This window comes from Homo sapiens, chromosome 17 (genome assembly GCF_000001405.40).
Source record: "Homo sapiens chromosome 17, GRCh38.p14 Primary Assembly".
NCBI lineage: Eukaryota > Metazoa > Chordata > Mammalia > Primates > Hominidae > Homo > Homo sapiens.
The window spans coordinates 16,291,391-16,306,946 of record NC_000017.11 but is presented as its reverse complement, the minus strand read 5'-3'; the positions used below and the strand labels follow the sequence as shown (position 1 = coordinate 16,306,946).

Sequence of the window (15,556 nt, the reverse complement as noted above, 5' to 3'; positions counted from 1 at the left end):
GTCGCAGCCGAGCCTTACCATTAGTAGCAGGTGTTTCCATCTCCCCTACTCTCCTGACTGTCTCTGAACTGTCACTCTAAGAATCTCACCCCTTCGGTGTTGATATTGTTTAAAAGCCAGCCGGGTGCGGTGGCTCACGCCTGTAATCACAGCACTTTGGGAGGCAGAGGCAGGCAGATCACCTGAGGTTGGGGGTTCGAGACCAGCCTGATCAATATGGAGAAACCCCGTCTCTACTAAAAATACAAAATTAGCTGGGCCTGGTGGCGCATGCCTGTAATCCCAGCTACTTGGCAGGCTGAGGCAGGAGAATCACTTGAACCCAGGAGGCAGAGGTTGCAGTTGAGCTGAGATCGCGCCATTGCACTCCATCCTGGCCAACAAGAGGGAAACTCTATCTCAAGAAAAAAAAAAAAAAAAAAAAGATCGTATAACTCAAACACCTGGTTCTGATCCCACCCTTCCATGCAGAACAAGGTGGGTGGTGGGGTGGTGGTTGGGGGAGATCAAAGTCTACTTTTATCTCTAACTCTAGTTAATTACAGCACCTTGGGCAAGTCAGAAAACTTTACTACTGGAAGTTATTTCAACATGGAATGTCTTGGTTTCCTCATGTGTAAGATCAGGAAAAGTAATGCCAGCTCTACTTTCCTTGCTAGGTTTAAGTGAAGAAATAGTGTTTAAAAACTGTACAGCGAGGCTGGGCGCGGTGGCTCACGTCTGTAATCCCGACACTTTGGGAGGCCAAGGTGGGTGGATCTCGAGGTCAGGAGTTCAAGATCAGCCTGGCCAGGTTGGTGAAACCCCGTGTCTACTAAAAATACAAAAAAACTAGCTGGGCATGGTGGCGCGTGCCTGTAGTCCCAGCTACTCGGGAGGCTGAGGCAGGAGATTTGCTTGAACCCGGGAGGCGGAGGTTGAAGTCAGCCGAGATCGTGCCACTGTACTCCAGCCTGGTGACAGAGTGAGACTCTATCTCAAAAAACAACAACAAAATTAGCTGGGCTTGCTAGCGTGCACCTGTAGCCCCAGCTACTCAGGAGGTTGAGGCAGGAGGATCATTTGAGCCCAGGAGTTTGATGTAATAGTGGGCTATGATAGCACCACTGCATTCCAGCCTAGGCGACAAGAACAAGAACCCCATCTTGCTACAAAAAAGAAAACTGTACAGCAGAAAACCCTAGAGTATCTCAACTCCCAGGCTGTTGCCATCAGGTGGAGCTGGCTAGCACTCTGGCTGGATGGATATCAGAAGGGTGCTGGAGGGCAGGCAGTCCCTTGGTTAGTGGATTTGGGGTCACATGAAATTCAGCTCCATCACTTTTGAAATTCTCCAGTCTTTGTTTTTTCTCTCATCCTGTACCTTGTAGTTTCCCCCTTTCTGTTGCAAGTAGGGTTAAGCTAAATTGTATTCAGCTCTCTGAACTTTGCAGATTTGTACATGACAATGGCACCTGTCATTCTTTACAAAACTCCATCCACTTTTATTTTTTCCTAAAGTGCAAAAGTATTTGTTCAAATAAAATCTTACCCAGACCCCAATAAATAGGTAACTGTGGGGCTGCTCTGGTTTCTAAGACACTGGTTCTCACCTAGGATAGTTTTGCCCCAGGGTCATTTGGTAACTTCTGGAGGTTTTTTTTGTTTGTTTTTTTGAGACAGGCTCTCATTCTGTCACCTAGGCTGCAGTGCAGTGCAGTGACGTGACGTGATCATGCTCACTGCAGCCTCAACCTCCCAGGCTCAAGTGATTCTCCCACCTCAGCCTCAGCCTCCTGAGTAGCTGGGATTATAAGTGCATGCTACCACACCTAGCTAATTTTTAAATTTTTTTGTAGAGGCAGGGTCTCACTGTGTTGCCCAGGCTGGTCTCAAGCAATCCACCCCCTGCTTGAGCCTCCCAAAGTGTTGGAATTACAGGTGTGAGCCACTGCTTGCGGCCTAGAGACGTTTTGATTGTGACAACTGAGGAGGGGGATTGCTACTGACATCTAGTGGGTAGTGGCCAGGGATGCAGCTAAACATCCTTCAATGCACAAGGCCAACCCCCACAACAAATTATCCAGTCTCAAATGCGCAATAGTGCTGTACTGACACATCCTGCTCTATGGGAGCAGGGACTAAGTGCTTCTGGCTCACTGTTGTATTCCCAGTTCACCACCTAAAGCAAATGTCCCATATTGGGTACTTAATAAATACTTACTGAATGAAAGTTGAGGTAGAGGGGTTGAGGCCCAGGACCTAGCCTGCTTAACACCCAGAGAAGACACTACTACCCCCCTAGGCTGCTTTCCAAGGATGGTAGCTTTGTACTTTTCTTTTTAACATTTATTTTATTTTATTTTTTAAAAAATAGAGATGGAGTCTCGATATATTGCCCAGGCTGGTCATAAACTCCTGGCCTCAAGTGATCCTCCCACCTCAGCCTCCCAAAGTGCTAGGATTATAGGCATGAGCCATTGCACCCACCCAGCTTTGTACTTTTCAAAACTCTGTCCTGTCTGCCATTCCTTATGGTCTTTATGATGTTCCTGCAGTACTACAGAGCTGGGACCAGACAGAACCCAGTTTCCTGCATTGATGGCTGCAGAGCCAGCTTTGCTTTGGATGATGGTGGAGAGCTTATGCTCTCATCCTGGTGCAGCCCAGGTGAGAAAATCTCTCCCCATGGCTTAGACTGTGCTCCACACCTCTGTCTGTGCTTCTGTGTTGCTGCTTCATCATCTCTTGTGTGCAGTTGAAACTTCTGGGCTGAATGGAAACCCATGCTCAGCTCGAATGATGGCCAGTTATAGCTACACTAGCCACGGTGTTAGCATGATCCTATACTTCTACTATGGCACTAAGTGCAGGCCAGAGAAATTATTCCCAACTGTACTGTCAACTTGAGTTTCCTTATTAATAGCAAGTGTGTCACAAGAAATTTGTTAGTAGGCCGGGCGCAGTGGCTTACACCTGTAATCCCAGCACTTTGGGAGGCCGAGGCGGGCGGATCATGAGGTCAGGAGATCGAGACCATCCTGGCTAACACGGCGAAACCCCGTCTCTACTAAAAATACAAAAAATTAGCCAAGCATGGTGGCGGGCGCCTGTAGTCCCAGCTACTCAGGAGGCTGAGGCGGGAGAATGGCGTGAACCCGGGAGGCAGAGTTTGCAGTGAGCTGAGATCACGCCACTGCACTCCAGCCTGGGCGACAGAGCAAGACTCTGTCTCAAAAAAAGAAAAAAAAAAATACAAAAATGAGCTGGGCGTGGTGGCATGCACCTGTAGTCCCAGCTACTCAGGAGGCTGAGTCAGGAGAATCGCTTGAACCCGGGAGGCGGAGGTTGCAGTGAGCCGAGGTCATGCCACTGCACTCCAGCCTAGGCAACAGAGCGAGACTTCATTTCAGGAAAAAAAAAAAAGGAGAAATTTATTAGTAAGGAGCTGTTTTATACGATTTCCTTGTTTATAGCAATTAAATCAATTGAAGATTCTCTTGACAATAAAAGTCGACTCACTTGAGTAAGTGTGAGCAGCTCAGCACCACAGGAAAGACTTCCAGGCAGGGAGGTGGCAGTTAACAGCTGCAGCAGTTTGGTAAGGAGCACTGTCCAGGGGCCTGCTCTAGTTCTTGGAGATATAAAGATACCAGGCACAGCCTTGGCCTTCACAGGCCTTAGTCTAGTTTGCAAGACGTGGTCTGCACTTTTAAGAATAAACAGCAACATATGTTGCAGTACACACAGCAAATACTGCCGGAGCCTCAAAAAGGGCTCATCAAAGTTAGCTCTTCTTTGAGAAGAAGGTCTGGAGGGGTGCCTGGACCACAGATCACTTTTCTGGGACCCAAACATGGGAGACTCTTCTGAAAGCAAGAATGGCACACAGAGCTGCCTGTGCCCCAAAGCTCCTCCCTCAGATACTCAGGGTCAAGGTCAGCTGCAACATGGTCTGAAAAAGAAATCTGGCCCCTCGGCAAAGACCAACGTTGTTCACCAGTGTTCAGGACTTCAGTAAGGGTCAGATTATAGAGGATTTTGGATTCCAAGTTTAAAAAGATGAGAGTAGCCTGGGTGCGGTGGCTCACACCTGTAATCCCAGCATTTTGGAAGTCCGGGGAAGGCGGATCACGAGGTCAGGAGACCAAGACCATCCTGGCAACATGGTGAAACCCCATCTCTACCAGAAATACAAAAATTATCTGGGCGTGGTGGCGCGCACCTGTAGTCCCAGCTACTCAGAAGGCTGAGGCAGGAGAATCACTTGAACCAGGGAGTTGGATGCTGCAGTGAGCTGAGATCGCGCCACTGCATTCCAGCCTGGTGACAGAGCGAGACTCTGTCTCACAGAAAAAAAAGAAAAAGAAAAAAAGATAAGAGTACCCTACAGCAGGAGCAATTTGGAAGACCAGTAGTTCTCGTGCACTGAAGTAGGGGAGGACAGAGAGTATTTAGGGACTGGGAAGGCACTAGCATGGAAAATGAGGTGCCAGGGAGTACTTCAGGCTGGCCATGACAACCTCCAACCTCAGCTCTGTCTACATATCGAGGCTGTGGAGGCTCTGAGAACTTCAAACTGTGTGGGCTGAAGAGGAGGAGTAAGAGAACCAAGGCAAGCCCCAGTCAGCACAGCTAGGCATTATTCCTAAGCCCATGGATCTAACATTACCGCTTTCATGCTCAGATCCTCTGGGAAGGGTAGGCAGGGAGTGTGGGGCCTGCAAGCTGCTGGTGACCATTTTTCCAGCCAGGAAAAGGAATAAAACCAACATGCAGAGAAAGATGGAGATGAGTCGTGGTAGGGTCAGGGTACCTGAGGCCCATCTGCAGCTCAGCTTTTAGGTGACTCAGGGTGAGCAAATTAGGTGCCTGTTTTGGCCTGTGTGTACTAAATTTCAGTTGTATTTCTGTCATTAGAGAACAGAAACAGTCCAATGAATATATCAATGAAAATCTGCTCTCAGGGCCTGATGCAGTGGCTCACATCTGTAATCCCAGTGCTTTGGGAGGCCAATGAGGGAGGACAGCTTGAGCCCAGGAGATGGTGACCAGCCTGGCCAACACAGCAAGATCCTGTCTCTAAAAAAAAAAAATTAGGCTGGGCGTGGTGGCTCACGCCTGTAATCCCAGCACTTTGGGAGGCCGAGGTGGGTGGATCATGAGGTCAGGAGATGGAGACTCCTGGCTAACATAGGGGAACCCCATCTCTATTAAAAATACAAAAAATTAGCTGGGTGTGGTGGTGGGCGCCTGTAGTCCCAGCTACTTGGGAGGCTGAGGCAGGAGAATGGCGTGAACCCGGGAGGCGGAGCTTGCAGTGAGCGGCGATCACACCACTGCACTCCAGCCTGGGCAACAGAGCGAGACTCTGTCTCAAAAAAAAAAAAAAAAAAATTAAAAATTGGCTGGGTGTGGTAGCTCATGCCTGTAATCCCAGTACTTGGGAGGCCGAGGCAGGCAGATCACGAGGTCAGGAGTTTGAGACCAGCCTGATCAACATGGTGAAACTCCATCTCTACTAAAAATACAAAAATTAGCCTGGCGTGGTGGCACGTGTCTGTAGTCCCAGCTACTCAGGAGGCTGAGGCAGGAGAATCACTTGAACCCGGGAGGCGGAGGTTGCAGTGAGCCGAGATCCCGCCACTGCACTCCAGCCTGGGCGATGGAGGGAAACTCTGTCTCAGAAAAAAAAAAGAAAAAAGAAATTAGCCAGACATGATGGCATGTGCCTATAGTTCTAGCTACTTGGGAGGCTGAGGCAGCCACTGCACTCCAGCTTGGGCAACAGAGGGAGAACCTGTGTCTTAAAAAAAAAAAATTAAAAAAAAAAGCCTAATATGTTTCTCTGCCAGCAGGATTCATGTTTTCATGAGAACTTAATCAAAACTTAAGCCAAATGGTGAGGCTTTAAATGTGGAATTTTAGATATTACCTCATGAAGGATTATTATATATTTTTTGAGTGGTAGACAGTAAGCCTCCTTGGCAGCTTTAAAATTGACTATGGGCTAAGCAGTCCTGCTGATCCTAGAAGAGCTGAGACTGGTGTTGCTAGGCTTGTCCACCATTGCAGTAAATACAAATCTCTGCTATTGCTCTAATTGCATCAAAAATTTTCTTCCTTAGTGGGTATGAATGCATTCTCATGTTTTTTGGAATGAAGAAATCAATGCTTAAAAATCCTGGCTTCACCACCACTTGTTTACCTTGGACAAGCTGCTTGGCCTCTGCAAAACCTCAGTTTCTTCAATGTAAACTGATAATTTTACTTTTTTTTTTTTTTTCTGAGACAGAGTCTCACTCTGCCACCCAGGCTGGAGTGCAGTAACACAATCTTTGCGCATTGCAACCTCTGCCTCCCAAGTTCAAGCGATTCTCGAGCCTCAGCCTCCCAAGTAGCTGGGATACAGGCACATGCCACCACGCCCGGCTAATTTTTGTATTTTTAATAGAGATGGGGTTTCACCATGCTGGCCAGGCTGGTCTGGAACTCCTGACTTCAGGTGATCCGTCCAACTCGGCCTCCCGATGTGCTGGGATTACAGGCATGAGCCACCACACCCAGTCACAAATTTTACTTTTAAAGTTAAAATGATACTCTGTGAAAATGCTTGGTAAAAGGTGAGGTCAAGTTCTGTATAAATGAGAATCACTGGGCAGGCTCTGGGGGACCTGAATTTTTAGATGGCAGGACAAAGGCGGGGGCTTGAGGGTGTTAAGGAGGACACAGTTTAGAAAAAACTTCTGCCTCTATCTGAGCACTGATAATTTAGTTATTCAGTCTCACACAAGATCGTAAAGATATCAAAAGGTGTGTTTGTTCTTCAGTAGGTTTAATGGTGAGCATTGGAAGTTCTGGCCTCCTTAGAGAGTGGCCCTGGAGAAGGACTGGAAGTGGGAGGGTGGCCACAGAAAAAATTACAGAAACCACCTGGTGTGAATGGGACCAAGACCTCAGGTTTTCCATTCAGGGAGCTGCCCCCTTACCAGATTGATGCCATTCACTTCTATGTGCTGAAGGAGGACTCTGGCCACGTGCTCTGTGTCCCACTGCATGCCTGGGTCATCTGGGAAATCCCTACAAGAGAGAAGCACAACTTGAACACCTTTTCTAATCAGGCACAACCTTCTCCCTAAGCTCCAGTAGGTGCATGCCCAGTTTTATGATAGTTACATTGGGGGTAAGGGTCCCTGCCCTTAAGCTTCAGCAGATTTCAGTTAAGGTGAGATTTACAAACATGAAACAACTAGAAATTAATGCATAATTCCACACAACACACTTTTGGAGCTTTATGCTTGTTGCTGAGGGTAAGAAACAACATCAATGAGACAAGGCTCTGTCCACAAGTTGGGGAGACAAATGTGTTAAAAATGAACTTGAGCACAAGGCATGATGATATGCACTTTATGAGAATATTAGTAATAGTACTTTAATAAAAAGTACAAAGATATGTTACTTCATTAACCTCATGAACATCTTTTGACAGAGGTTTTTTTTGTTTTGTTTTGTTTTTTTCTTTTTGAGATGGAGTCTCCCTCTGTCACCCAGGCTGGAGTGCAATGGTGAGATCTCGGCTCACTACAACCTTTGCCTCCGGGGTTCCTGCCTCAGCCTCCTGAGTAGCTGGGATTACAGGCACCCACCACCACGCCCAGCTAATTTTTGTATTTTTAGTAGAGATGGGGTTTCGCCATGTTGGCCAGCCTGGTCTTGAACTCCTGACCTCAGGTGATTGGCCCAACCTTGGCCTCCCAAAGTGCTGGGATTACTGCTCTGTCGCCTAGGCTGGAGTACAGTGGCACAATCTCGGCTCACCGCAACCTCCACCTCCCGGGTTCAAGCAATTCTCCCACCTCAGTCTCCTGAGTAGCTGGGATTACAGGTACGTGCCACCACACCCAGCTAATTTTTGTATTTATTTATTTATGTATTTTTCCCGAGTCAGAGTCTCGCTCTGTCACCCAGGCTGGAATGTAATGGCATGATCTCAGCTCACTGTAACCTCCATCTCCTGGGTTCGAATGGTTCTCCTGCTCAGCCTCCCAAGTAGCTGGGATTACAGGCACCCGCCACCACACCCAGCTAATTTTTGTATTTTTAGTAGAGACAGGGTGTCACCAAGTTGGCCAGGCTGGTCTTGAACTCCTGACCTCAGGTGATCTGCCCACCTCAGCCTCCCAAAGTGCTGGGATTACAGGCGTGAGCCACTGCACCTGGCCTTTGACAGAGCCTTTACCGATGAAGTTAAGTAGCTTGTTTGCAAGGCTGTTATAGTTAGATTTTGAATGCAGGTTTTTGCCTGCAAAGCCAAAATGCTTTAGCACTAGGGAGCTGGCTACATCCTCCCTCCATCAGGACTGGGACTTGCTGCATGTCAGGTACAAAGGTCTTTACCAGAATAAACTTCAACTTATCTGTGTCTCCACCTGGCCACATCACAGGCCTATCTCCTTCTCCAACCTGCTGAAATCCTTCCTGTCTCTTTTCTGTGCTTTGATCTATGGTGTCACCTGATATGAGACTAAGGCCTCATCTTGGCCCCCTTTTTTGAAAATATTATTCATAATCTTATAAACTGATACCTATCTCTCTTTGGGTCAGGTCCTACAGCAACACCCATAATGCTACTGAGAGGACATGGGCTCTGCTCCCTACCAGGCAGGCTGTTATCACCTCCCTATGGACAAAGGTCATTAACTGGCCCCCTTTCGGACTTTGGGCAAAGGAGAGTCACTGGAGGTTTTTCAGCACAAAAACAACATGAGCCTCAGCAATAAATAATGTAATTGTTTCCTTTGCTTCAGCTGGTTCATCTGCCAACCCCTTATGGCAGTGGTCCCCAACCTTTCTGGCACCAGGGACCAGTTTCATGGAAGATAGTTTTTCCATGGACAGGGGTGGGGGGCATTAGATCCTCATAGGGGCGTGCAACCTAGATCCCTCGCACGCGGAGTTCAAAATAAGGTTTGCAGTCCTATGAGAATCTAATTCCACTGCTGATCTGACAGGAGGCAGAGCTCAGGCAGTAATGCTTGCTTGCCCGTCACTCACCTCCTGCTGTGCTGCCTGGTTCCTAACAGGCCACGGACCTGTACTGGTCTGCAGCCTGGGGGTTGGGAACCTCTGCTTTAGGGTGTTTTCTACAGAGGGCAGCTTTGTACTTTTCAAAGCCCTATCCTGTCGGCCACTCCACGTGGTTCTCATAGTGCTCCTGCAGTGAGCAGGACAGACAGCTCAGCAGGTGAGGGACAGGATCAGGAGAAAGGGATAAAGCGGGATCAGGACAAAGTTCAGTTTTGTTTCCTGGAAATGGAGCTGAATATAGTGTGTAAAACATAAGCCCCTGAGCTCACGCAGCTGAAGGAGAAATGGACAATGGGAACAGAGAAAATGTCTTGGAATGACAATAGCTACATACATACTCCTGGCTGAGAGGTTCACATAAATGTATTAAGGCATCATTTTGGAGAGGGAATACACCAGTAATATTGTATGGAACTTTAGCACACGAGAGAAAGGATAGGAGGATAGTAGGCTAAGCCTACTAATTCTCTGTTGTTCTGAGGTGCTAAGGTGCTGAAAGATAAACCTCAAAGAGGGGGAAGTTCATGGCTGCCTTCCATTTATCTTCAGAGAACTGGGATCTGCTCTTTTGAGGGGCGATGCAGGAAGAAGTGTTGCTCCATGCCTTTCTTTCGGTGGCTCCACCCAGTCATTGTGGGTGAGGCCAATCATTTAGGGAGGGACTTTGGACTGTAAATATCTGCTCTGTGATGTGACACATCTGATAAAGCATCATTACTTTTATGATCAAGTCCAAACTCCTCTTGGTCACACGTTCAAGTTTTCCCCAATCTATCTCCTATTTTGATTCACTTCCTTTCTCATTATTTGAAAGAGTCAATGAGATAACACAGGTCAGAAAGCATTTAAGAACTGTAAAAAGGGCCGGAACGGTGGCTCACGCCTGTAATCCCAGCACTTTGGGAGGCCGAGGCGGGCGGATCACGAGGTCAGGAGATTGAGACCATCCTGGCTAACACGGTGAAACCCCATCTCTACTAAAAATACAAAAAAAAAATTAGCCGGGCGTGGTGGCGGGCGCCTGTAGTCCCAGCTACTTGGGAGGCTGAGGCAGGAGAGTGGTGTGAACCTGGGAGGTGGAGCTTGCAGTCAGCCGAGACCGTGCCACTGCACTCCAGCCTGGGCAACAGAGCGAGACTTCAAGAACTGTAAAGAAATGTGTAAACATCAAAAGTGTGGCTGTTATTGCTGCATTAGCCTAATTTAAACCCTCCTTTAAAAAAAAAAGAAAGAACTCCCCAGTCTTTCTTTCTTTTTTCTTTTTTTTTTTTGAGATGGAGTCTCACTCTGTTGCCCAGGCTGGAGTGCAGTGGAGCAATCTCAGCTCACTGCAACCTCCGCCTCCCAGGTTCAAGGGATTCTCCTGCCTCAGCCTCCCCAGTAGCTGGGACTACAGACACCTGCCACCATGCTCAGCTAATTTTTGTATTTTTAGTAAAGACGGGGTTTCACCATATTGGCCAGGCTGGTCTCAAACTCCTGACCTTGTGATCCGCCCACCTCAGTCTCCCAAAGTGCTGGGATTACAGGTGTGAGCCACTGCACCTGGCCCCCAGTCCTTCTTTCTTGCAGTCCCTTGCAGAGCTCTTTGATGGCCACTTCTACAAGCGGTTTATGATTTCAAAGTGGGGTAGGCACCACAGGAGATGTGTAAGATGACTCATTGAGGTAAAGCAATGAATCACCAGGACTTCTATTTACCTGTTTTTCTGTTTACATTTATATTTTGTAGCTATTTTATAAGGCATCATATACCAACAGGGTTTAACATGTACACAGTTTGAATAAATAAGTACATAAATATGGAGGTGCAAGCTCAAATGTTGTTTCTTGCCATTAGGGGAGTGTGATAAAAATGTTTGGAGATCACTAGTCTAATCTACTCACTCTTCATTTTTCATTTTTTCTCCTGAATATTTTATTTTATTTATTTATTTTTGAGATGGTGTTTCGGTCTTGTTGCCTAGGCTGGAATGCAATGGCACCATCCTAGCTCACTGCAACCTCTGCCTCCCCGGTTCAAGTGATTCTCTTGCCTCAGCTTCCCGAGTAGCTGGGATTACAGGCATGTGCCACCATGCCCAGCTAATTTTGTATTTTTAGTAGAGACAGGGTTTCACCATATTGGCCAGGCTGGTCTCAAACTCCTGACCTCGTGATCCACCCACCTTGGCCTCCCAAAGTGCTGGGAGTACAGGCGTGAGCCACCACACCTGGCTGATAATTTATTTTTTTGAGACAGAGTCTTGCTCTGTCACCCAGGCTGGAATGCGGTGGTACAATCACAGCTCACTGGAGCCTTGACTTCCAGGCTCAAGTGATCCTCCCACCTCAGCCTCCCAAGTAGCTGAGATTACAGGTGTGAGCCACCAAGCCCAGCTAATAACTCAGTGATTTTTAGTACATGTATGGAATCTCTACATTTTATTTTACTAGTATTTTACATACATATATATATATACTTTTTTTTTTTTTTTTGAGACGGAGTCTTGCTCTGTCACCTAGGTTGGAGTGCAGTGGCATGATCTCAGCTCACTGCAACCTCCGCCACCTGGGTTCAAGCGATTCTCCTGCCTCAGCCTGTCAGTAATCGGGATTACAGGCGTGCGCCACCATGCCTGGCTAGTTTTTGTATTTTCAGTACAGACAGGGTTTCACCATGTTGGCCAGGCTGGTCTAGAACTCCTGACCTCAGATGATCCGCCCGCCTCAGCCTCCCAAAGTGCTGGGATTACAGGCTGCATATATTTAATTCTTGACTCTCCAACCTATCATAAGTCCCCCGATGGACGGATGTTACATGAGCCATTAATCAGTCAAGGTCTAACCAAGAAAATGGAGACCACCAGGTATTTCAGAAGGAATTTAATATAGAGACCTGTTTACCCACTGTATGGGAAGAGCTGAGAGGCCAAACAGGAAACAGTGAAACAACGCAGAGACTGGCCACAGCAGAAGGGCACCACCACCTCTAAGATAGGGGACAGCAGAGCCATGGAAGGGGAGCAGTGGTGGGAACTAGATGTCAGGAGAACTAGCTAGATGTCAGGGAAAACACCAACCTGCTGATGGACATGCCACTTAGGGTGGAGGATGGGGGAAATACCTGGTTCTTCCCTCTGCTACCTCCTAGTCATCCATCATTGCCATCTACTGGTCAAACCCCTCCAGAAGCCAATGGACATGGGAGCCTGGAAACTGTAGTTTCCATTGGAATAGAGCAAAGGCTTAAGATAGAGGCGATGTCTTACTCACAGCAGGTGTTCAATGGATACTTTCAATTGCTGCTCAGTCTTGGCCCTAAACCTTCAAAGGACAGCAGCAGTCTGGCCACCTGCCTCTCACTGTCTAAGAGTTTTCCAGCTTTATGGAAAAGCAATAACCTGCCAGGTGCTTGGTTATAGAGGGCAGCGGGGAGAACCGTACTGGGGGACATGGGGGCACCACAGGGCAAGCAGGATTCAAGGCTCAGGGAAGGGAGACATGGCAAGGGTTAATAGCCAGTTTCACCCCAGAAGCTCAGGGACAGAGTACCGTCCATGATTACAGTGGTCCAGTGTCACGAGCAGGCAATGTGATGTGGCAGAGAGAACATGGGGTAGGATGACACAGAACCCGAGTTCTAGCTCCCCTGCTTTCCATGTGACCTGGCAGGAGCTGCATCATCAGTAAAGATAAAATAATTCTGGGATGCACCTGATGACTGCCTGAGAGTCCTTCCAACTCTTAAGTCTAGGACTGTGTCATAAGCAAATGATTGATCTCACCCACTATCAGGGGGTGGAGCCACTAAAAGAAAGGCGTGGAGCAACACCTGTTCCTGTGAGCCTTTCTCCAAGTGAGCTTCCCTCACAGAGCAAAGACACTGCTATCAGGTATGACACAGATAACCTCCCAAAAGCCAATGAGAGACCAGATCTCTCATTGGACAAGGCCAAATTCTTTACTACACACCTTCCTTGTATTTAGAAACCTTCACTGAACTCCTCTACCAACTATAGCTTAGACTACCCCACTTCGTACCTGATTTGAATAGTATTCTATTATTTTCTGTTGTTTTGTGTGTCTCTTTAGCTAAACTTAAAATATAAGACTAGGCCTGTGCCTTATTCTTCTATTTCTTAGGTGGTACATGGTACAACTCAAGTCAATGAACAATTTTTTAAAATAAATAAACAATAAGTAATTGTGCTTCTACCCTATGCAAGGAAGTGTGTTAGGGGGTTTAACAAGCACTAGTTGCTTGACAGAAGTACTCTATATTTGGATGAACCAAAGGGAATTATACCAGCCACTGGGGGCTGATGCATGTAAGCAAGATGTTTGAAAGATTGCAATTTTTTTTTCTTTTTTGAGACGGAGTCTCCTTCTGTCACCCAGGCTGGAGTGCAGTGGTGCGATCTCGGCTCACTGCAACCTCCGCCTCCTGGCTTCACGCCATTCTCCTGCCTCAGCCACCCGAGTAGCTGGGACTACAGGCGCCCGCCACCACACCCGGCTAAGTTTGTTTTTGGATTTTTAGTAGAGACGGGGTTTCACCGTGTTAGCCAGGATGGACTGGATCTCCTGACCTCGTGATCCACCCACCTTGGCCTTCCAAAGTGCTGGGATTACAGGCGTGAGCCACTGCGCCAGGCCGAAAGATTGCAATTTTATAAAACAGATTATGGGTTAAAAAGTGTATACATTGGGCAAAAGGGCAAAATATCCTAATGGGGCCCCTTCCCCTCAATATAGGAAAATATAAAATTTGATGCTGGGAAATTTCAAACAGATAAATGTAGAAAAAACTCCTTTTAGACTAACTATCTGAGTTGTTCTTTGCCTAAAGTTCAACCCTAATCAGCTCAAGGCCTGGGTCCAAGCATAGTTTCTGTCTTCTCTAATATAGTAACAATTCTACCCTAGATAAACATGTAAGTCAGTTTTTGGATGCTTCCTTAAGAGACAGTTGGTGAATGATAGTTGCCCCAGTTTTCTTTGTCTAGTCCCTCTTGCTGATAACTAGAACAGGAGAAGCCCTCTTGGTCTGTGAAGTAATCTTAGGTATGAAGCCAGACAGAGTAGAGTAATGAAAAAGGAGGAAACCAAGCTGCAAGGACTCTGGGGAGTGAGCCATCACACGGTCCCAGATAGCATCCCTCCTCCTACCACAGTTATTGTGGGTCATCTGCTATTTGCAGCAAAGCCAAATTCTCATTTATAGATGCCATAATTTTTTAAAGCCTCCCTATCATCAATTATTTAGGTTGTTTCCAATTTTTTAGTATTGTAAAAAGGTTGTAATGAGCATCCTTATCCATAACTCTGTATGCCTCTCTCAATATTTCTTTGTGATAAAATCATAAATGTAACTTCTGAGTCAATGGTGAAATGAAAAGCACATGCGTGGATCTCTCTTGTAAGAACTCTGCTATGAAGAGTAGATGGAAAGTGTGTTAACTTGCAAGGCATACAGCATCAAAGGAGTGTTTTTTTTTTTTTAAAGAGAAAGATTTGTACATTTTATAGGCTGAAACGAAAAACTAATAAGTACAATTTATATTAAGAGCTCCATTCCAGCCGGGCACATTGGTGCTGGCACTTTAGGAGGCTGAGGCGGGTGGATCACCTGACATCAGGAAATCGAGACCAGCCTGGCCAACACGGTGAAGCACATCTCTACTAAAAATCAAAAAATTAGCTGGGTGTGGTGGTGCGTGCCTGTAATCCCAGCTACTCAGGAGGCTGAGGCAGGAAGATCGCTTGAACCTGGGAGATGGAGGTTGCAGTGAGCCGAGATCATGTCACTGTACTCCAGCCTGGGTGACAGAGCAAGGCTCCATCTCAAAAAAAAAAAAAAAAAAAAGAGCTCCATTACTTTGAAAAATCTAAGGTGTTTTAATATTATCTACTTTTTAATCCTTTTTTAATTTTATAGCCATGGGGTCTTGCTATGTTGCCCAGGCTAGTCTTAAACTCCTGGTATCAAGTGATCCTCCTGCCTCAGCCCTATTTTCTTTTTTCTTTTTTTTTTGAGATTGAGTCTCACTCTCTTGCCCAGGCTGGAGTACAGTGGCACAATCTCAGCTCACTGCAACCTCCGCCTCCCAGATTCAAGTGATTCTTCTGCTTCAGCCTCCCGAGTAGCTGGGATTACAGGCACCCGCCATCATGCCTGGCTAATTTTTGTACTTTCGTAGAGAAGGGGTTTCACCATGTTGGCCAGGCTGGTCTCGAACTCCTGACCTCAGGTGACCCGCCCTCCTCTGCCTCCCAAAGTGCTGGGATTACAGGTGTGAGCCACTGCGCCCAGCCAAGTCCTATTTTCTTATCCTTGTAAGCTCCCTGAAAAATCCATATAATTTCTTTCTTTCTTTTTTTTTTTTTTTTTTGAGCCAGAGTCTCGCTCTGTTGCCCAGGCTATAGTGCAGTGGCACAATCTCAGCTCACTGCAAACTTCATCTCCTGAGTTCAAGCGATTCTCCTACTTCAGCCTCCTGAGTAGCTG

The 15,556-nt window shown here is 46.9% G+C and overlaps 1 protein-coding gene across 7 annotated transcripts in view, besides 1 other annotated feature; it reads right to left on the bottom strand.

The window, feature by feature from the left end:
* Positions 1-15,556, bottom strand: part of PIGL (phosphatidylinositol glycan anchor biosynthesis class L) — a 109,202-nt gene that overhangs the window by 19,465 nt on the left and 74,181 nt on the right. For all 7 annotated transcript variants that reach the window (XR_007065545.1, NM_004278.4, NM_001411072.1 and 4 more), the window contains one exon: positions 6,969-7,059. Coding sequence is in view for 6 of the 7 variants with exons in the window: in NM_004278.4 (NP_004269.1) it covers positions 6,969-7,059 (91 nt within the window). In the remaining variant the exon portion in view is untranslated. The remainder of the gene's footprint in view (positions 1-6,968; positions 7,060-15,556) is intronic.
* Positions 1,233-1,734: an enhancer, noted in NCBI's record as "H3K4me1 hESC enhancer chr17:16208527-16209028 (GRCh37/hg19 assembly coordinates)". NCBI's record gives its function as "activates a minimal SCP1, AML or CMV promoter by ChIP-STARR-seq in primed H9 embryonic stem cells {active_cell/tissue: H9 hESC(primed)}" and the evidence as "EXISTENCE:reporter gene assay evidence [ECO:0000049][PMID:30033119]".